The sequence below is a fragment of the Homo sapiens genome, chromosome 11 (genome assembly GCF_000001405.40).
Source record: "Homo sapiens chromosome 11, GRCh38.p14 Primary Assembly".
Classification (NCBI taxonomy): Eukaryota; Metazoa; Chordata; class Mammalia; order Primates; family Hominidae; genus Homo; species Homo sapiens.
The window spans coordinates 83,650,738-83,673,598 of NC_000011.10; the positions used below are offsets into that span (position 1 = coordinate 83,650,738).

The 22,861-nt window shown below is 39.1% G+C and overlaps 1 protein-coding gene and 1 long non-coding RNA gene across 64 annotated transcripts in view; one reads left to right on the forward strand and one right to left on the reverse strand.

Moving 5' to 3' along the window:
- Positions 1–22,861, reverse strand: part of DLG2 (discs large MAGUK scaffold protein 2) — a 2,173,362-nt gene that overhangs the window by 195,726 nt on the left and 1,954,775 nt on the right. The window contains exon 2 of one of the 63 annotated variants that reach the window (NM_001377976.1): positions 1,102–1,193. The exons of the other annotated variants lie outside the window; for them this stretch is intronic. Within the exon in view, the coding sequence (NP_001364905.1) occupies positions 1,102–1,144 (43 nt within the window). The 5' untranslated portion in view covers positions 1,145–1,193. The remainder of the gene's footprint in view (positions 1–1,101; positions 1,194–22,861) is intronic. 63 annotated transcript variants of the gene reach the window in all.
- Positions 1–22,861, forward strand: part of DLG2-AS2 (DLG2 antisense RNA 2) — an 87,698-nt gene that overhangs the window by 13,045 nt on the left and 51,792 nt on the right. The gene's annotated exons all lie outside the window — the stretch shown is intronic.

Below are 22,861 nucleotides of genomic sequence, written 5' to 3' on the forward strand. Positions count from 1 at the left end.
TACTATAAAATAATCATTTAAGGAAGTGTATAAAATTTCTTTGCCTCAGATATCATAGTGCCTCAGATCCCCTTTCAAGACTGAAAGACTTTCTACTCCAGATGCCATTGGCTGAAGACAGCTTCTATTCAAACAGGGAAATGGCCTGTCTGCAACATGCAGCCTTTATTCTTATCTGCATGGCATACTCCTTCTCCTTCTTTAAAATTTGATAGTAAGTCTTTTATGATTTTGCTCTTTTAAATGAAATTAATCATGCCCCTCTTCATCTTACTTACTCTATACCTCATATATATATTCATTTTTGCATTTATGACATATCTTTTATGTTTATTATACCTGTTTCCCCTGCCAGCCTAAAACTCTATGGAGGAAGACATTATGTCTTATTTGACTGTGTATACTCAGCTCTTAGTACAAGTAAGTACCTAGTACATAATAGGTACTCAATAAATATCAATTGAATTGAATAAGAAAACTGAGTTTAGGTTAAAAAAAAATCTCAGATGGAATGTCAGAGAGTAAGTACATACCTATTGCTGGGGTGACCAGGGGCAAATTACTTAACATTTCTGAGTTGGAAATAATGCCAACTACAATTACAAGACCATTGTGAAGATAAATAAGATGACACAGGTAAAGAAGCTGTACAAAGTAGGGGTCTAGCTTGGGTGACAGGGTGAAACTGTCCATTCTTCTCATAATAAATGCCCATTCTCTTCACAATAAATTGAAAATTAGTTTGCAACAAACTTATTCCTGCCCTTTTTTGTATTCAGGGTTTGGCAAGACCTTCTGAGTTAATTTAGGACAACTTAGTGTTTAGCATAACTCTTTCACAGATTTGCTGTATTATCAGTGTCTGATGATGTTGACAATGTTGAAGAAGAAGAAAGAAGAGGAGTTGGAGGAGGAGGAAGAAAACATCCAGAGCATTCAATTTATTCTAGTTAAATTACTAACCAGAAAGAGAATGCCCTCGGAAGTCTACTTTATAATGCTGTTTGGTTCTAAGTAAAGAGCATCTAATAGGGAGACATGTAAATCCTGTTTCCAAAACACACTTAGAGGATTACAGCATGTGAAAGATTTGCTCCCTACCTGGCTCAGAGCTACGAAGGTCACATTGGCTGTCAAAGGACATGTCTTCTGGCTAGAAGAAGCCCTGGTGAAATCTTATGTGATATCGGCACCTTTGCAGAAAGTAAGAAACAAATCACCTGAAATCTACACACTTAAATTCAGCCTGTGTTGGTCTAATCAAATTTGGCCCTGTTAGAGAATTGAATTCACAGCAGAAAAGAGAAAAAATTATGCTCTTTTCTCAGTATAAATTAAAATGTAGTATCATCGTTTGCCCCCAAATGCTAAAAGGTTTTGTAAGTGATGTTATTTTGTGTTTTTTTGGTGTGGAATCTTGGCAGCGCAACTGGACCCCAGCTTGGAGCCACAAAGCAGCGACTGTAGATCATGCAGGAGGGTATCTATCTGGCAATAGCCTGCACTTGTTCTGTTTTTTCTCTGCTTGCTCTTGAAAAGGGGGAGAGGAACAACCTTTGAAAGCTAATTATTCACTTTGAGAGATGATTAAGATGAATAGTCCTCACGTGTATATTTGAAGTGCAGAGGTGTGGTTTGTTTTTGTGTTTTTGAGATGGAGTCTCGCTCTGTCACCCAGGCTGGAGTGCAGTGGTGCAATCTTGGCTCACTGCAACCTCCGCCTCCTGGGTTCAAGCGTTTCTCCCACCAAAGCCTCCCAAGTAGCTGGAATTACAGGCGTGCACCACCACACCTGGCTAATTTTTGTTATTTTTAGTAGAGACGGGGTTTCACCATGTTGGCCAGGCTGGTCTCAAACTCCTGGCTTCAAATGATCTGCCTGCCCTGGCCTCCCACAGTGCTGGGATTACGGGTGTGAGCCACTGCGCCTAGCCTAGATGTGTGTTTTTTAAGTGTGTTGTCTTAATATCATTGTGGTATGATTCACAATTAATGACACCTGAGGGTAGCCCTTCTGTGTATAGTGTCATATAAGTGTGGTTGTCACTTCCTCCTCAGGCTGATCTCCCTTTGATAAGACTAATAAGTTATATTTTGGGTTTCCTTATTCGACCCTTTTTGTTGAGTTTCATATCCCACCAAGTTGTACATTACTAGCTCACACCTTCTAGGTTTTATATATGCTCTCTTTTAATTCTTTCAAAAGCTCTGTGTGGAAGATAGTCTTATTCCACTGTACATATGTGAAAACTAAGGCTCACACTAGTTGTGAAATATGCCCAGTCACACAGCTAGAAAATGTTGGTGGCAGAAGTGGAACCCCAATCTAATAACTTCCCAATGCTGTACGCAACTTCATTCATGTACACAAAATGACTGTAAATATGAGAAATTACCTGAACAACAAAGAGAAGACAATGACTTTTCTATCATAGTCCCAATTATCATAATGATTTAATATCCATGGGGGCTGCATCATATCTAAATGTAACAACTACAAACTGAAGAAACCTGCCATGGGGCTGACAAAAGTGGATTTGCAGTGAATCTCCCTTGCTGTTATTTATTTTCTCCTCCAGAGATAAAAGACACAATTCACAAATAGACCGTCTTTCAAATGCAAGCAACAATCCCTCCTCCCTGTCTCCTGTGTCCATATATAATTCTCTTAAACAGCATAAATCTCTTTTCTATGCACGTTACTATTTGTATGCATTTTTTCTTGGTCCCAAATTAAATTTATTTTGTCTGTAAATGCAAGCAGGCTACACCTTGGGCCCCTGAGAATTCCTTGATTTATAACTGTCACTGTACATGTCATATCCATGCATAAAGTCCAATAAAGTATTAATCACTTCATCTCCATCACAGGAAGAATTTCTTTGGGGCCATTTTCCCCAAGAAATACATACATTTTGTCTGTTGATAAAGTGACCGCACATGTCCAAGGAGCACAAAAATAAATCACGTTAAGAGGTAGAAGTTAGATTTTTATTTTTTTTTTAGATGGAGTCTTGCTCTGTTGCCAAGGCTGGAGTGCCGTGGCACGATCTTGGCTCATTGCAACCTCTGCCTCCCAGGTTCAAGAGATTCTCCTGTGCCAGCCTCCCGAGTAGCTGGTATTACAGGCATGCACCACCACACCTAGCTAATATTTTTTTTAGTAGAGATGGGGTTTCAACATGTTGGCCATGCTCGTCTCAAAATCCTGACCTCAAGTGATCTGCCTGCCTCTACCTCCCAAAGTGCTGGGATCACAGGCATGAGCCACCGCGCCTGGCCAAGAATTTTTTTTTTTAACTAGTGAATATTAAATTTTGAAGTGCTGAATTTATTCTATTCTGTGGATAAGACTGGCTGCCCACCAGTCTGGAAGTTCTTAAAGCAGTGATTGTGTTCTTTCCATGCTATTGCCACTTCTCACCCAATCTGGTTCTTTGCCCCCATACAAGATAAAACTTTCACCAACCAAGTTAAAGGATGATTTGGACTCTGTCATGGAGCTACATTAGGATTAGAATAATATCAGAGAATGTGCCTTGAATGAATTAGCCTGGCATTCGAGGCCAATTTGATCTGCCCTCTGCTTTCCTATTTTATCCCCTCCTGACAACCTTCCTGATAACACTCCAAGTGTACCAAGTGTTTTCAGAGCATACCTTGTACTTTCCCATTCATAGTCCTTTTAGTTTTATTTTTTCTTCCCCTTACAATGATGGTTCTTCTGTCTTGACATTCTAACAAATCTTCATGACTCAGAACAATTACCATTTTCTCTTCCTGAGTCCTCAGGTCCAAAAGAAGCCACTTCATTTTTTGTATACTTACAAAGCACTCCATTATGACATTCAGGCATTTTGATGTATTTTGGTTCTATGTGTGTACTTGTTCTACTGGAGGACACACTCTAGAAGGATAGGAGACACATCCTAGCTATTGCTGTAACATCTAATGCCCCAGCAGAGAGTCTTGTATGAGCGACTTAAATACGTCTATAGAAATGAAGTAATTTTATTTAATGCATGGCAGCATTTTCTTAGGATATTGCCGAATGAGGTTACAGCATGCTAGTAATAATTAACATATTCATTAGAAGATAAGACCTTAGTCCCAGAATTTGGCTGTGTGGTCTTCTTGAGGACATCTAGAGATGGGGGCATGGATAAGATGTCTTGGGGACTGGTCCAGGTGCAGGACAAGAGAAACAACTATCACAAATAACTGTACATTCTGTATCAGGGTGTTGTAAGATTCCAGCCCATGTGAGAATGAATGGTTGTCTTCATGCCCAGGTGGCATGAAGTAGACGCTTAATAAATGAGGTGCCCTCTGTGCTCCCACACATCCATCCAGTGCTTTTCTCCATCTTGGCATTTACTCTCCAGTTGTATTGTAATGAGTGGCCTCTCTGTGACTCATTACTAAAGACTAGGGCATTACAGTTTAAAAACATAATCTTAACACCTAGTTCAGTGCCTAGCACATAATCAGCCCTAGATAAATAGATATTTATTGAATAAATGAAGAAAAGAGTATAAGAAGAAAAGAATGAAAGACAATAAACATGAACATGGAAGTTTCCTATTCAGCCTTTTGAAGAATATCCATTGGAATCATTGTGGAGATTATGAGCATTATGATATAGACATTGTTACTGGCTTCACTGTAATATTACTCAGCCTTTTCTGTTTAGAAAAGGCTAAATTTCAGGGAGAGCACTTGTCAGAGTGCTTATATTGGGTCAGCTGGGACATGCTTGGGAGCAGATGGATTAATCCCATTTCCTGCCCAGACCTCAGTAGCACTTTCTCTGTAACCCTGAGAGTTTATGTGTATATGTACATGCTTGTATGGATTTAAAAGAAGCAATAATAAAAATTCTGAGGAAAGTCTGAAGATATTTGATTTTATCATTTACATTGTATTCCTTTAAAGAAAAGGGAAATTTTAATTGAGAGTGTTTAGGCCAACTAATAGCTCAGGAAACAGCTCCCCACACCCATATACCCTGGCCTACCAACCCCTCTCCCATTCTTATTGCCAAAGTTTCATTCTCCAAATTCATATCCAAAAGGACCTATTCCACTGCCCCCAATGTGTATTTCTTTTCCCTGAATTGCTGTCACATACTGTTTTACTGTTTCAGCTGTAAGCTGTTGGCATCACAGTGCTCTGGGGAAGTTGTGCTAATCCAAGTCCTGACATCTCCTCAAAGATGCCTAAACAGTGCAGTAGGAATTCTGCAGGTGCAACTTGAGCCTTCTAGGAAAGGCTGTGCCACAAAGGCACCCTGGTCAGCACCCCACTCATCTGGCCATAACATGTCTGAGATTACGCAGGTCAGGGAACATCTTGCAGCACTTGCTGGTTTTGCAGAGAACTCAGAAATGTTAACAGATGGCATGCAGAACACAACCCTGAACAGTCAGCAGGGTGACACTCATTAAGAGTCATCACTGAATCTATTTCCAACAAAATCTCATTCCAATGAAACATCGCTTTTCAAAAAGTGTCAATCTGCTTAAATGAAAGTGACTACAGGGTACTATGATGCCAGGCCCGGTTGAATCCCTGCAGGCAACAAGAACTGTCTTAGAGCCTCAGGGCCTTTCCACCCATCATTTCCTCTCCAAGGTGGGTCCTGGTCAGATTTCTCTCCAGCAATCTTAGCCTCTGCAGATGAGACAGAATGCCTGGTAGCACTCAGAACTTCTCCTCCTGAGCCTGACATTCATTCCTCTGCCTACTTTTCCTCCCCAGTAGAACACTTGGGGAAGCAGGAGGGAGGGAAGAATGAGTAGAGGAAGAATAATATAGAAAACTTGTTGTTCCTCAAGTCAGAATTCCTTCCACGGTGGAAATGTATTTATTCTTACCTTTCTTCAAGTATATGACCAATTCATTCTTCAAGAAAAGTCATTTCCTCTCTCTCCCTCTATTGATTCCTAAAGGGACACATTGATCCCAATGCAATCTGCTAATCTACATTTTGTTGTACTTTAGATATCACTAATGAATTAAAATATTAATATGTGAAACTGAAGTCAAGTGTACACAACACCAATACGGGATGATGATGCTTAGGTTGTCAACCCCTTTGCTTAGCACTCACTGATGCAGAGGCCAACATCTCCCTTTCCACCACTTGCTTCCCTCCACCCCCACCAAGAGGTGGAACCTCCAATAGTCACGTTTTTCATACTTCCAGGTCTTCTCCCTACAAGGCCTTTGTTACCCCCATGAGTGCCTCCTGAAATCCTACTCAGTCATCCAAGACCCAGTGCAAATGCCACCTCCTCTAGTCAACATTCCATAAAGCTTCAGTCAGCAAGAGTTGCTCTCTTATCAGTGTTTCCATATCTCTTTATTATAACATCTAGATTAAAACTTGTCTTATTCTGTCTGTAATTTCCTGCTGCTACAACTCCAATGAAAACGTATTAAACACACCTAGTGCCTGGCATCATGAGTCAATTGGATGGGCTAACAAAACAACAGACCTCTTGAATTGATTTCCCTAGCTCACTAACCCCATCAGCAGGAGTGAGGTGAAAAATCACGAGTGAGGCCTTAACACTGCTTAGATGAAAGGCTGGTATCCATTAGTTGGTACATAGCCTAGGAGCTAAGAGACTTTGGTTCTAATCCCACTTCTGGCACTAACATTTTCCCCAAGCTCACACCATGGTAAACCAAAGGTATCAGTTATTTACTTACTTGGTAAATGTTATCAGTAAACTTTGTCTTGGTTATACTGTTGTTTACCAGTAGTCCGTGCTTTTATATATTGTCTATTCTTTTTTTTTTTTTTTTTTTTTTGAGATGGAGTCTCGTTCTGTCACCCAGGCTGCAGTGCAGTGGCGCGATCTCGGCTCACTGCAAGATCTGCCTCCCGGGTTCACGCCATTCTCCTGCCTCAGCCTCCCGAGTAGCTGGGACTACAGGCACCCGCCACCATGCCTGGCTAATTTTTTTTGTATTTTTAGTAGAGACGGGGTTTCACCGCATTAGCCAGGATGGTCTCAATCTCCTGACCTCGTGATCCGCCCGCCTTGGCCTCCCAAAGTGCTGGGATTACAGGCGTGAGCCACCGCGCCCAGCCTATATTGTCTATTCTTAACAATCTTCTTGCTACCAAAGCATTGGGCCAAGAGAACACCAATAGTTGCCTATAAAAAATAGACTCAGATTTCTTTCATGAGCACACACATATCAAAGAAGACATGGCTGCAGAGGAAGGAAGACATGGCTCTGCTGTGTGACCTCTGTGGAATAAGGATAATAGCCAAACCAGTCTTGGCTGCATGGTTATGGGCATACCAGAGCTAAATTCTGGAAAACACTTAGCAGGAAGTGCCCCCACAATATTAGCTACTTCTATTACTATCTTTTAATTTTACTCCAGCCTCATAATGTTCCCTGATTCTTATTTGCTTATAGTGAATTCCTAAGAGATTTTAAACTTGATACTTTCTATATCTAATGGGCTTTTTGAAAAATTACATTTTTATGTTCTTGTTTTCTTAAGAAGGATGGAAACAAATATATAGAGACTTTATTATTTCCAAAAAGTGCTTCTTTACTGTAATAATCTAAATCTCCAACAGATAGATGAGAGAAGAAAAATTCTTGCCAAAAATGATCAGTCCAAACCATAATTATGTTAATTATATCCAACTGTCAGCAAAGAGATCAAAGGTTAAGTCTGTTCTCTGCTTCACAGAATGACAATGATAATAAACAGTTATTCTTAGTAGCTAAAGTATATTTTGCAATTGTAACTGACACCATTTGACTTTCATTTTTTTATAAGCGAAATGATTTGCAATGAATTTTCATGCTTGAAACAATAAGTGCTTTTAGCTTAGTAAAATTCACTTTTGCCCAGCATGACCCACCTTCCTATTCACAGTCTGCTCTAGTACTTGAAAACACTGCTTGAGCAATGTAACAATGAACTTGGAAAAATAGCTTATCTTTTGGAAAGCCCTGGAATTGCATATACTCTTCAGTTTTCTGCATTTTAAGCACCTTAAAGAAGTTTACCACTTCTCTAGTGGTTTCATCACTCTTTCTAGTATTGAGCATTTACAATGTACCAGGAGCTATACTGAATGCCATATGTAGCAATTTATCTCAGTTGTTCTCCCAACAATCCTGTGGTGTGTAGTAGCATCACCCAGTTTACAGAAGTAGACACTTGCTCCAGGTTACTTAGGTGGAAACTAAATGAAGAATCCCAGATCTGAAACCAGGTCCTCCTGTCCAGATATGGTACTCTCACTTACTGTCTTGTATTGCCTTGGCTGCCCATAATATTCTGTACTTCCATATCTCAGTGCCTGTCGTAGTTTCTGATACACATAAGGAATACAACAATGATTATGGGATAACAGTCATTATAATGGCCAACATATTTTAAGCATTTACTTTTGTCATCAAATGTTCTAAGAACTTTACCTGTGTTAACTCATTTAACAAGTCTATAAGGTAGGTACTGTTATCCCATTTTACAGATGAAGAAACTGAGACACACGGGGATTAGTTAATAGTTAATAAAACAGAGAGAGAGAGAGATTGAGGGAGAGAGAGACAGCATTCTTGGACCACACCCAGACCAGAGCATCTGCAGGAGTCCAAATAATCCTCTCTGCCCATACATAAAGCATACAATTGCACTCCATCTCTTTTTGCTTACTCCTTTACCCTTCTTTACTCCTGAATCTTTCAGTCAAATTCTGGAAAACTTGGGTGATTATTTCCCCCAGGTCCTATAAGGCTACTCACCTGGCAGGCCAATAGGTTTGGCCTGTAAGGTTTTCTTACAATCTTATTCATCCAGGCTAACATGTCAATGGGGCTCTGCCTTTCTTTGTGTGCAACCCTGGTGGTGTAGGGATTACTCTCATGATATAGACAAGGAAGCTGGAAAGCAGAAAGGCTAAGTAAGCAGCTGAGCTGGGATTTGGTAGGAGACAGTCTGCCTCCAGAGCCTGCCCTTTAATCCACACACTATAAGAACACGCCCTTCCTGAATTCCCATTTGCATACTAAACTGTATTGTATTATATTGTATTGATCTTGTACTAAATTGTATTGTTATGTAATTGTTTCTAAAATACAGCCCATTTGATTATCAAGTGTTTAAGGGGTCATGTCATTCTTTTCATTTTGTGGCCCTCAGAGTGCCTATCTCAATGCTATTATTTGCTGAATCCTAAATTGGAGGTTCTGTCCCAGACTGGAATATCTGCTTAAGCACTGTGACTTCTGACGACTAGAACTTTACAAATAAACGTTGTATAGCTGAGAAGACTAAGATACGAAAAGATTGTTCTGGAGGGTAAATAGAGGGTCATACTTTAAGAAAAAGAAAATGTGCAAAAGGATAGGTTTTTGTTATTTTTTTTCTTTTGAGCATCTACTGTGTCTCTGATTTTTGAAAAATAAGACATAACCTAGCCCTTAGGAGCTCTTAGCCCAGTGGGAAGAATACACAGAAACAATAACATGTAATAACATGTAATCTGAAAGATTCTGTGACAGAGACGCTATGGAAGAGGTCATAAGTCAGCAGACTGCCAACCATATGTGACCCACAATTATGTTCCCTTTTATTTCACAGTGTCTTCAGAAATATGAATCAAGGGTTAACATTTAAAAATTAAAAATTTTACAACAAAATCCACATTGGTGGCTACCCAAAAAGTGAAAAGTTTGATGCCACTGAACCCCCATTCCTGCGCAGCCACCATCAGCCTGAGTCCAGTAGCTGCTACCTCCAGGGGTGGTATGTGCATATATTTTTATGGATGGTCCCATGTTTCTTTAACAATGTTTAGGACACTTACCTATAGCCATTTTCTACAAGAAGCACATATGATATAATACGTCACCTTGGTAACACTGCCCATGTGACTATAGATAAAGTCACACACTAACATGTAAGGTGACATAAATAAAAATTATCAAGGCAGTATAGACAGAAGGAGAAAGACTTGAGGTACATAAGGGGGTGGCTGATGGAAAAAAGTGATGGAAAGATAAACAGAAAGTTGATAAAATTGTACTATTTGACCTCTCTCCCTCCTCCCATCTTGGTCTCCCTCCTTCTGTCCCTCATCTCATCTCTCCCCATATGTACACTTCTTCTTCTGACTCCCCCCATAATAATAATATCCACAACCCTATATCAAGCACCTGCTTAGTGTTGGAGATTATACTAAGTTTTGTGAACAACAACCCTGCAGACTGATATTACTCTACAACAAAGATGTGTTTTTAAGATTCCAGTCATCATGTTCTTTGCATGATGCCCTTTGCTTGCTCTGCTTGTAGTAACAGAAAATTCAAACACCAAATATACCAGTTCTCCTGCTTTGCCCGAGGTTAGTGGGAGACAACCTTGTGCTGTGGGGGATGTGCTGGCTCTGGGGAAAAAGCATTTGCATTTAAATTCCACCTATAACTCTGAATTAGTGCAATGATCTTGGGTGAGTTATTCAACCTCTCTTGTGCTTAAATTCAGGATCTATTAGATGAGAATATAATTATTATTCAGATAACTATTCATAATAACTATTTATATAGTTGTTATGGAGACAAACTCTGCATAGGATGCCCATGTAAAAAGCATCTACTATTCCTATCATTTTTCAGATAAAAAATAAATTGAAATAACAAAGGAAATATCTACAACAATATATTATTAGTGGGTAAACAAATTAACGTGTGTGGAGCACCTACTATGTGCCAGATAATATATATTTTGTCTCATTTAATCCTCATGCTGCTACAGCAAGTTAGATTTTATAATATTAATTTTTTTTTGGTTAGAAACAGCAACAGAAAGAAAGTACTTTGCCACTTATGACTCTAATAGTAGAGCCAGATTTGTATGACTCCAAAGCTCATGTCCACCTGCTGTGACCCACGGCTTGGAATAAGGACAAGGGCTACTGCAGTGCTCAAGACAGCTTTTACCCTGGACTCCAAAGGGCACTGCAAGGCTCCCTCAATGCTGGATTCAAGTAAATCCGCTACACCTTACACTTCCGACTCAAGACAGAAATCAAGACATAGTGACCTCCTATTGGGGGCAGATATGAAGGTGACTGACAAAGCATCAGGACAGAGCGAATGAATCATTCATGTAAATGACAACATTAACACATGCCCTGACATGTTCATCTCTCATCCTCATGCCTACTGTGAAGAGGCAATGTTTGTATCTCTATAGGACATTTGTATTTTAATATACTTGGAGTGCATTTAATATACACATGTATTGAAAAATGTCTTCAAAGATGGTCTACCTTAAATACCAATTTTTTTGGTAAGGAAACAGCAGCAGAAAGAAAGTACTTTGCCACTTATGACTCTACTAGGACAGCCAGATTTGTTTGACTCCAAAGTTCATGTCTACCCACTGTAGCCCACAGCTTGGAATAATGACAAGGGCATCTGCAGTGCTCAAAACAGCTTTCACCCCAGACTCAAAGATGGCCTGAATTATCTATGGAAAGAATACATGCTCTGAGGCAGGTCCAAATGTCTTTCAAAGTCAATACAGATTGAAAATGGCTCTATCTGCAAAAAGCAAGCACTGTATTGAAACCTCACTATTTGGCCCCAAAGACACGACCCCCAGCTCTTCTCTCTCTAATCTCAGAATTATTTACCTTGTCAGAAATCTCATGGAGAGGAGGCGGAGTGTTATATTCTCTTGGGCCAATATATAGAACTTTAAAAAAGGGAACAAATACTTCTAAGGAACCTGCTATAATTCTGGCTCTATGGAATGCATCAATACATTAACTCAATGAATCTCCAACAATTAAATGTGATCCACATGAGAATATTTGTCTCTTCTATTTATCCCTGTACTCTCAGAACTGTTCCTGGCACATAGGAGGTGCCTGTTCTGGCTCTTGCTACTGGTCCTCTGCACTGTTCCTTAACTCTGCCACCACCATGCTTCCCACTGTATTACAAGATCAGGAAGCCCGAGAACTATATGCTCAGAACCTTTTGTCAGTAGAATTGCAGTTTAGATTCTCTCAACCACAGTAACTTCTGTTAAGTTCCAGGATGTTAAAGGCAAGTAGCAGACTGGCACAGGATCACAGGATTTTGTGGCTCTCAGCACTGCTACAGTATCTTACAGTTTCCTCAGACTCCACAGTCCACTGTTGGTCTCTAGCTTCAGGGCTGGAACAAACTGTGGCTCAGGAAACGGCTTCCTGAGGTTACCTGATTTGGTTGTAGCTGCCTCCATTCCTAACTAGCAGTCTTCAAACAATTTCTAAGCACATTATTACCCTGAATTACATTGCTTTCTGCTTAAAATAATAAAGGTGCTATCTATTTTCCTGACTAATTTAATGTTCAATAAATATATGTTAAATAATTGAGTAAACAACCCATTCAGTGGGCATTATTATCCCTGCCTTACAGTTGTGGAATTGAGGCTCCTAGAGACAAAATAATTTAAGATTATACAGCAAAGTATTAAATGTCAGATCTGAGAGTAGAGCCCTGGACTGTCTAATTCCCAATGTGCTTTTGCTTTTTCCATTCAAGGACTGCTCACAGTGGGTATAATATACCACGTTGCTGTCAAAATCTTATCTCAGAGGTTAAGAGTTGTTTGTATTTCTCCTCCTGCCAGAGCACCATTGCAGCTGAAAACCTCTCTATACATAGGCAAAGGACATTCATTCCCAAGACAAGTGGTTTATTAAATATGTATTAGGTCTGGCAAGACACCCTGTTAAAAACATACATTGTATCTGCAGCGTCATTGCAGATACAATGTGTGTGTGGCACATAGTAGAAGCTTGCCAAGTATTAACTGAATGAATAAATGAATGAAAGTTCACTGGTTTTGTTCCGCCAGACATTCCTTTGCAGATTGTATGCTCTGACTCAGGGGTCACCTGGGCCATAAGCCATCTGTGGGTTGGTAATACTATTATCCTTAATGCCTGGTTCCCTCCTATAGTTCAGCAAAGTAAGAATACCTCAGAGGTTCCTAGATACTGACATAAGGCTGTTGATTTTCCTTGGAAGCCTCAGTTGTCAAGGGCATTGTAATTCCGAGGCAGATAGAAATAAGAATCCATCCATCCCTACATTCCAAATAAGATTGAGGCACTGAAAACTATTAATCTGCCTTCATTGTAATGTATTAAAAAGAGTGTCACATTTGGAATCAAACTGATCTGGGTTTTCATCCTGATTCCTGATACTTACTAGACGTGAAACATTGGGCGAGCTGTTTCTGTGACCTGTTTTTTCATTTATATAATGGTAGAGATGATAGCTCTCTTACAGAGCTTACTGTAAGGATAAGCTATTGTAGACAGAAAGCATCTAGTTCTCCTGGCCCATGTTATGGATTCAGTGAATGAAAATAGTATTGTCTTCACTAACACCAAGAGTCTGTTGACACATAGGCTGTCATCCTGCAGGCTGGTCCACATAAGCCAACAAGGCTCTCCAGTCCCAAATAGGCAGCAGTGGTGTGAAGGAATACTTAAAAGCATGTTTTTTACTAGAGAGGTTATGTAGTTGCAAGGAATTAAATGTCTGCATATTTTGTAAGCTTCGCGGTGTCTGATGCCTTTGGGTGGAGGGGAGTGGGAATGGCTGGTAGAGAGTGGGTAGAGCAGAATCGTCAAACCTCACTTTTTTTTTTTTTTAAATGGGAACCAAGATTTGACTTACTGAAAGAATCTGAGGGGTGGACAGGTAGAGTTGGGTGGCTTTTGTACACTGGGAGGTAGTAGTTAAAGCTGCAGGAATGAATGAGGTCATGGATGGTTTGGAATTAAATGAGGGAAAACGAAACCACACTTGACTTCAGAAAACTCACAGTACTAGTCTCTAGCTTGGTGCTTGGGATACAGCAGATGCTCAATGAATATTTGTTGAGTTAAAAGCATAAGGTTAAAGAGTGCATCACCCTTCCTTAAAATGTCTGTGTGTCTAACTTATGATCCAGGTTCATTTTACCTTTGAAAAGCTAACTGATGTCTATGTGCTTCCTAAAGATTCCAAGTTTCTCATTCTGGAAAGGTCCTCTTCTGAAAGCTCATGAAGCCAGCACTAACATTTATTTAGCATTTAACTGAGTCCTGGAAGACACTATGAGTTTTTTCATTCTACTTATGTATCTTAAACCTCAACTAGAGTTTGAGGACAGAGACCACATTTTTTTGCATGGCTGAAAATTTCTCAGTATCTAGCAGAGTGTTTGACTATAGCAAGTGCTCAATAAATAGAAATGTAGCACTTGATTAATCAACCAATATTAAAGTATTGTTAGGGAAGAAAGAAATAAATAGAATGCCTTGAAACTTTAGATGTGTGGAAAAATGAAGTGTGTGCCTGTAAGAGATGACTGGTACTCAGCTTGAAAGAGAGAAGGCTTAAGAAGCCTTAGAAAGAGGTGCCAAGCTACCGTAAAATAGAACTGGGGTGTGAGGGGGAATCTTGCATAGAAGAGGCTGGTAGAGTTAGTTCTAGGAGAGAAGCAATGGGCTGTCTTTTATTCTTCAACTATGCATGGGTTGCCTTCTTATGTCAAGTAGTGTGCTAGGCAATGGAGATACGACAGTGAATAAGGCACATCATCTGGTCATAAGGGCTTTACGTTATGCTATAAGAGTTAAACCAGCAAACAGTCAACTACAACATAGTGTCACAGCATAGAGCAATATAGAGTACAAATGGGGGTTATACTTTCTAAATATTAGATTATCTCTTATGTACTCTCCCTCTGCAGGGATGACCTGAGGGATTCAACAGATATTGTGATTCAAGGGTTAAGCAAGCTCAAAGGAAGAGAGATCGGAGAGAATTTCAAGACTATAGAGCTTACCATTTTCTTTTATCTTTTTAAATGTTACTTTAACTACAATAATAAATATTCAAACCATTCCGTATGTTCTAGAGAAAAGAAAGGCAGATCAGACGTGCCCCTTGTCAACCACTAGGCAACTCGTCTAAGGAAAAATGAATAATTTCTACTACCACTTTGGAGATTCTTGAGATTTTTTTTTTTAGAGAACGGGGAATGCGTTACAATAGGAGCATGAGATTGGAATTCTCTATCAGCTGTAGCAGTTAGGAGTCAAAAACACGAAGAAGTGATATATACAAGGGTGCATGGGAATTGGAAGATAAATAAAGGACTATCACATTCCACGGGAATTTTTCTCAGGCCCCCTCCAACTTGACCCACTATCTCCCCCATGATTTTTTTTTACAAACATGAATGTCAAGTTCTCTGCTTCCTGTCTTCACTAGCATTATTTTCAAGATTAGCCCCTTCCATTTGCTAGATATATCTCATTATTCAATAGTTTTTTATACAGAACTATTTTCATTCCACCACATGAGATCTACTTCTGCCCTTTGCAGTTATAAAATAAATTTATAATCTCTTATCTCTTTAAAGGCTGTCTTGTATTTGAATGTTATTGTATTTGTTGTTCTTATCCCTTGAAGCTAGGCAGCCGTGGTTTCTTTAACTCAGAGGTCCCCAACCCCCAGTCCGCAGACTGGTAGGTGTCCATGGCCTGCAGGAACTGGGCCGCACAGCAGGAGGTGAGTGGTGGGTGAGTGAGCATTGCTGCCTGAGCTCCACCTCCTGTCAGATCTGTGGTTTCATTAGATTCTCAGAGGAGTGCAAAGCCTATTGTGAACTACACATGTGAGGGATCTAGGTTGCTGCTTCTTGTGAGAATCTAATGCCCGATGACTGATGATCTGAGATGGAATAGTTTAATCCCAAAACCATTCCCCTTACCCACCCCATCCGTGGAAACATTGTCTTCCACAAAACCAGTTCCTGGTGCCAAAAAGTTGGGGACCACTGCTTTAACTCATTTTATCCAGTAAGATTTCCAGACTTTTGTTCCCTACGTGGTTACCTCTTGAAACAGCTTAATTATAACTATCTAATAAAGTGATCCTTGTACCAAGCACAAGACTCCACCATGAGTTGAAAAGAACTGATACCCAAGAGAGGTCCCATGACTTGCCCAAAGTCACAATGCTGGTAAGTGAAGGGGGCAAAATTCAAAGCCTGGGCTTTGGCCTTCTGTGCTAGTTCTCATCCAACCTCTAAATACAGAGAAAGAATGGAGTCCCTTTCATTCCCTCTCCAACAGATCTTAAACAACACCATACTCTCATTCCAGCCCCATTTGCCTTGAGTCTGTGATCTTCTTCCAAACCCAGGCATACACCGGAACTGGCCTGGGCAAACTGCGATATACGGTCAACGCTTTATCTTTCCTTAGGCATGTTTGCCTTTGAATAATTAAAGTTGTATCTATTCATAGACATAAGCCAAGACAATGAAATATATAAAAATATGAATAAAGGATATTTATTTTAAGGAAGAATTTCTTAAAATATGCTTTTGTCTTCTGTCTACAATGAAGTTTAGATAACCTTTTCTTAGTGTATCCAATGAGTTTTCAAGTGCATTTTTCATTCATTTGCCCTTTGAAATGGACTTATTACCATTTAATGGTGATAAGCAAACTCTGTCCTACCTACGCTTATTATAGCTGTCTAAGGATATGACATTCAGATTGACATGCATTCCTGGAGGGTGGTGAATATGCAGCTGGCATGATGTTAATAGATTTTCTCATTCACTTGTAAACAATTCTGTTTTTATTTCTGCCGATCCCAAGGTTTGGATTGAACTTTTGTTTTCTAGTCTTAAAGGAGGAATTTCATGTGAGCTTCACAAATACTCATTACCTGAATATAAAGGTCTCAGCACGGTAGTTGGTCCAAAAATGCAGCCAGCTTGTTCAAACTCCTTTTCAATTCAGAAAGCCATGCTAAGGAAATTAGTGATGTTCTCTTCAGAGGTGGCTAACTTCCTTCTAGTTGGTCTAGGTCTTGCTACTAATCATGTACAGAAATTAAAGGAAGAGGCCGGGCGCAGTGGCTCATGCCTGTAATCCCAGCACTTTGGGAGGCCGAGGCGGGCGGATCACGAGGTCAGGAGATTGAGACCATCCTAGCTAACACGGTGAAACCCCGTCTGTACTAAAAATACAAAAATTAGCTGGGCATGGTGGCAGGCGCCTGTAGTCCCAGCTACTCGGGAGGCTGAGGCAGGAGAATGGCATGAACCCGGGAGGCAGAGTGCAGTGAGCCGAGACCGTGCCACTGCAGTCCAGCCCGGGCGACAGAGTGAGACTCCGTCTCAAAAAAAAAAAAAAAAAAAAAAGAAATTAAAGGAAGAGGGAAATGACGGCCCCTGGCTGCCAGTCACTTTGCAATTTTCTGGGGAAATGAAGTAAAAAAAAAAAAAAAAAAAAAGCAGAAACAAAAACAAAGAAACCAAACAAACAAAATGAGGGCACTCAGGCTGATGTTCATGGAAGCAATGGCTATGTCTGGCATCACAGACGTGGTGGATATTGAAGCAGGGTCAGATTTATGTAGAAACAAGGTAGAATGGAGGGCTTTCAGACTGATGCATAAAAATATCCAGTTGTCAATTTGCCAAGAAAATCTATTTTCAATTCTTCCTCTCCAGGCTCATCTACCACTCTTCTCTGCAAAGACAACACATTTTATAGCTTAAGAACAAAAAGCTATCAGTCCCAGGACACATCTTGCTGTTTCATAGCTCCATACTTTTGTATAGGCTGCTCATTCTACCTGGGATAGCCTTGGTTCTTTAAAATACTGCAAAGACATTCAGAGAAGTTTTTCTTAGCCCTACTAAGTAGAGGTAATCACTGTTTTCTCTGGGTTACCTCTGTACTTTTTTAACAGTAATATAATTGTACTCATATGCTATTACTGTAATTTAAATTACAATAAAATGGAAGAAAAACTATATATACACACACACATGTATATATACACACATGTGTATGTATATATGTATAAGTATATATGTATGTGTATATATATGTGTATATAAACACATATATATGTGTATATAAACACATATATATGTGTATATAAACACACATATATATGTGTATATAAACACACATATATATGTGTATATAAACACACATATATATGTGTATATAAACATATATATGTGTATATAAACACACACACACATATATATATATATATATTTTTTTTTTATGATAGACTATGAGCTTCTAAAGCCCAGGAACAGTTATTCGCTCAGCACCAAATTACTAGTCCCTGGTAAAACTCAGAAGGCAATACATGTTTGCTGAGTTTAATGAAATCTACAGGCAGCAAAAATTTCTTCTTTATTTTATGGCCAAAGAATTTCCTGGCCCATCAAAATGCTCTATTGGAATATTTTCCCAATCCTGAGCTTGTACTAATTGATCTGTTTATTCACTGAACCCCTGCTACTGTGTGCCAGGCAGAGTATTATGTTAGGTCCCAGGAATACAGTAGTGGGTAAAACAGTCCTGGTCCCTCTCCTCATGAACCCCCTCTCCCTACTCACACTCTTTCAAATTACTCATTCCTATTAATTTACTGCAAAATAATATTCGCACCTCTAGCAATAACTTTTCAATTCAGAAGGCCACATATAAAAGCAAATTGATACTGAGTATGTTTCTGCTGAAAAGTCTATAAAGAAACATTCTAGGCTGCTGTGTCTCATGGAAGGTGTACTCCATCTTCATGAATACATATATAGATGTATGTATTTCTGTCTACATGTACATTTCTATGCCAATGTATACATATATTATAGATATGCAATACACAATTAAGGCTCACAAAAGAATACAACCCTCTTATAAACAGAAGGATCCCTTGACCTTTCAAACTTAGGTCCACTTAATTAAAAACGAAGCATAATTTGTACCCTTAATATAATGGCCTATGATTTTCAAGTTTAACTATTTTCATGTTGATTGCTATGTTTTGACTCTATTTTGAAGGGACCACAAGGGTGTTTATGCCCTGAAATAAAGAGGAACAGACAACTTTTCCAACCCTGAAAAACAAAGGAAAAAATTTAAGACAAACAAACATGAAAAGCTATCATGTATTTCTCTGCACCCAGAACAGTGCTAAACATAAAGTAAGCACTAAATGAATACTTTCTAGATAACTGAATAAATGAAAGAGCAAACACTTGCAATTATGCAGTTCCTCGTTAGGACAAGCCAAAGGAAGAGCTATGGATTTAAGAGGGAAAGATAGTTTAAAACCAAATCTTGACCCAAATGGTGAAAAGATGATTATCTGAAAATAATTTTAATCTTATAGCTATGCTTTAAATTCTTTGGTCTCTTAGCTCTCAGAGCAGTGATGTATACTGTGGTGGGTGCAATATCACATCTACCTAACTCAACCAGCTTATCCAGCTGAGGACAGGCATCATAAATATTCCAGTGAGTTCCATGAGGATTAGGAGTAAACAGATGTCTAGTTCACCTCTGCATTTCTCAAGAGTCTTGCCAAACTCTGTAGACTTTTCTCCAGTTAATGTGCTTTTATCATTTCCAGGCTTCTTCTACGTGTTACAAATAGAGTGGATGCTTGTGGTGGTAGGTGACAAGGTTCCCAGGAGAAGGTGAAAGCAGGAAAAAATGTCAACAAACATCTACCAAGCACCCACAGGTTTCAGGCCAAGGCTAGGTTCTGGACATACAGAAAAAAAAAACCCATCACTGGTGACTCTATATATGGAGTCTCAATACTTCTTGGTCACCATGATAGGTTTTGGTATACATTGTCCTTATTTGCAATTTAATATCAGGAATTTTATCTCTACCACAGAAGAAAATGAATACCTTTGGGCTCACTCACAAGCACATATTCATGAAATTTTAAGATGTAAGAAAATTCATTGTGTTGTCATAGATGAAGACATTTCTTTAAAAAAAAAAACCAAAACACAAAAAAACCCAGCAATTCCATCTGGTCTGCTAAACAGGTTCTCTTGGGAACATCATGAATGTTTTAATAAATTTATCTCATTGCATTGCTCCTGGGTGGGTAACTAAGAACTCTGAAGGACAGATATATTCCCAAATTCTTTCTCAGGCAAATTTTTGGGCATGTACATGTTAACATTAGAAGGGAATCTAAGTAAATTGATATTTCCAATAATAGTATACTACTATGAAGTGATTTGATTAAAATATTCTCCTTAAAAATAAAAAGGAGGCAAACTTTTGTTTCTATAAAGAAACATTCTAGGCTGCTGTGTCTCATGGAAGGTGTACTCCATCTTCATGAATACATATATAGATGTATGTATTTCTGTGTACACGTACATTTCTTTGTACATATTATATTTAAAAAGTAGATTCAAATAACCCTAATTTAATTTTTAAAAATTTTAAACACAAGGAAAATGTTTTCCTTTATATCTTCCTTATCACTATGACAACTAAATGGGTTTGGTACAATGCTATCTTATCCTAATTAAGAACATGGCCCTGCAACGTGGTATTCTATTAATATTAAATGAAAATGTGTGAATTATCTAGTTTTAATTAGAGTGCTGCATTTATGGCTTTCCGTTGTGAGCAAATGCTGTGTGGTATATAGAACATAAATTGAGATTTATTTCTTAAGAATTAGATGAATGTAGGGGAAATCAACGTGAACCCACACTGCTTGAATCACACATCCTGATGTAGAGTCTGTATCGATTCATTTATCTTTTCATCCTTCTACCCAATACTATTGAGCCCCTCCTATGAGCAGTCAATGGAAGGACAAAGAAAAATCTGTCCTTACTAATGAGCTCCCTCTGGTGATAAGATCCACCAAAACAGATAATTATCATATAATAAGATAAATGTAGTTAAAGAAATAAGCTGTGAGTATTTGGGATATAGCAAGAAAGACCCAACTGGTGGGGAGGAAGGGAAGAGAAACATCTTTCAGAAGGACAATTAATCAATAAATAAATAATGCTTATTTATTTTTTGTTTCATCAATATCCCTACTCCCTTTCCCTCTCTTGTATTATTTTGAGGCAAATAATTTCATCCATGCCTATGTCAGCGTGTAGCTCTAAAAGATAAGGGTGCTTGTTTTTAATATAAGCACAATACAATTGTCACATCTCAAATATTACCAATAACTTTTCACCACATATATAATTGATGTCCAAATCTCCAATTGTCTCATTGTCATGACTTGTTTTACCATTTATGTTTTGTTTGAATTGAAATACACAAATGTTCATTGCTTACAATTTGTTACTTTTAAGTGTTTCCCCTATGTCTCTTTTTTCTTTGCCAATTATTTATTGAAGAAGCCTGAGTTTTAAAGAATGAATGGAGGGTAAGACAAATAAAGGGGAAGGGAGTAAGGAAGGAAATCTAGAGAAATGGGACACCAGGAGAAAAAAATGTTGTAGAAACATTGAGGCCTTCCTTGATTTCCCTTCCTTCCCTTCTTTCCTTTCCTTCCCTTCCTTCCCTTTCTTCCCCTTCTTTCTTTCTTTTTCTTCTTCTTTTTGATGGAATTTCGCTCTTGTTGCCCAGGCTACTGCAATGGTGCCATCTCAGCTCACCGCAACCTCTGCCTCCCGGGTTCAAGTGATTCTCCTGCCTCAGCCTCCCAAGTGGTTGGGACTACAGGCACCACGCCCGGCTAATTTTGTACTTTTAGTAGATACAGGGTTTCTCCATGTTGGTCAGGCTGGTCTCAAACTCCTGACCTCAGGTGATCCGCCCACCTTGGCCTCCCAAAGTGCTGAGATTGCAGGTGTGAGCCACCGTGCCCGGCCTCCTTGATTTTCTTAAACATGCAAACTCTGTGAGCATACTTACTTATTTTGGGAAGATTGCTCAGTGTACTCCTAACAATACTCTTCTCTATATATCTAGTAAATTCCTGTATCATCTTCTAGTTCAGCTTCAGAAATTCTTCCCCACCTTTTCTATCTCATGTTGTCTCCATCCTCCTTTGAAGGATGTATCAGCTGGCATTTATCAACCAGTATTTTTGGTGTGTTTGTGTTGAGGCATCATGTGAGATGCTAGGCATATAGGGATGAATGAAATCAAATCCCTGTCTTCAAGAAACTCTCAGGCTGGATGCGGTGGCTCACGCCTGTAATCCCAGCACTTTGGGAGGCCGAGGCGGGTGAATCACGAGGTCAGGAGTGTGAGACCAGCCTGACCAACATGGTGAAACCCGTCTCTACTAAAAATGCAAAAAAATTAGCTGGATGTAGTGGCACACACCTGTAGTCCTAGCTACTCGGGAGGCTGAGGCAGGAGAATCACTTGAACCCGGGAGTCGGAGGTTGCAGTGAGCCAAGATAGCGCCACTGCACTCACTCCAACCTGGACGACATAGCAAGGCTGTCTCAAAAACAAAACAAAGCAAAACAAAACAAACAAAAAAAACTCTCTGTGAGGTATTTTAGTAAGAAATGAGGCAATGCCTATGTTTTGGACTAAAAACATATATTTGTCCATATAATTTTTAGTCATGACAAACACATGCTCATTGTTGTGCAGGGCATAACTGGAGAGTTTTTTAAAAAAGCAATATTTGCCACAGAATCATTAATAAATAGGCTCGCTCTTTCAGTTTCCATTTAAAGATGGAAAGCAACACTTTGTCAATAGGCTAAACATTTTGACTGTGTTTTATTGCTTTTTCTAACGTCCTATGTTATGAAAAGGTCATGAGAAGACTAATGTTGGAAGATCAGATAATCAAATTATAATGAGTTTAGCTAGTACCCTATGGCTCACATTTTACTCTTTATGTTGCTAGTGGGGCAACTGAAGCAAGCAAGACAATAATGCATTATCCTGTAATATTTTAAAATGAGGTTGTTGATGGTAGAAGGCCCACTAGCACTTTTTTGTTCGATTAAGGGGCTGCCAATATTTCC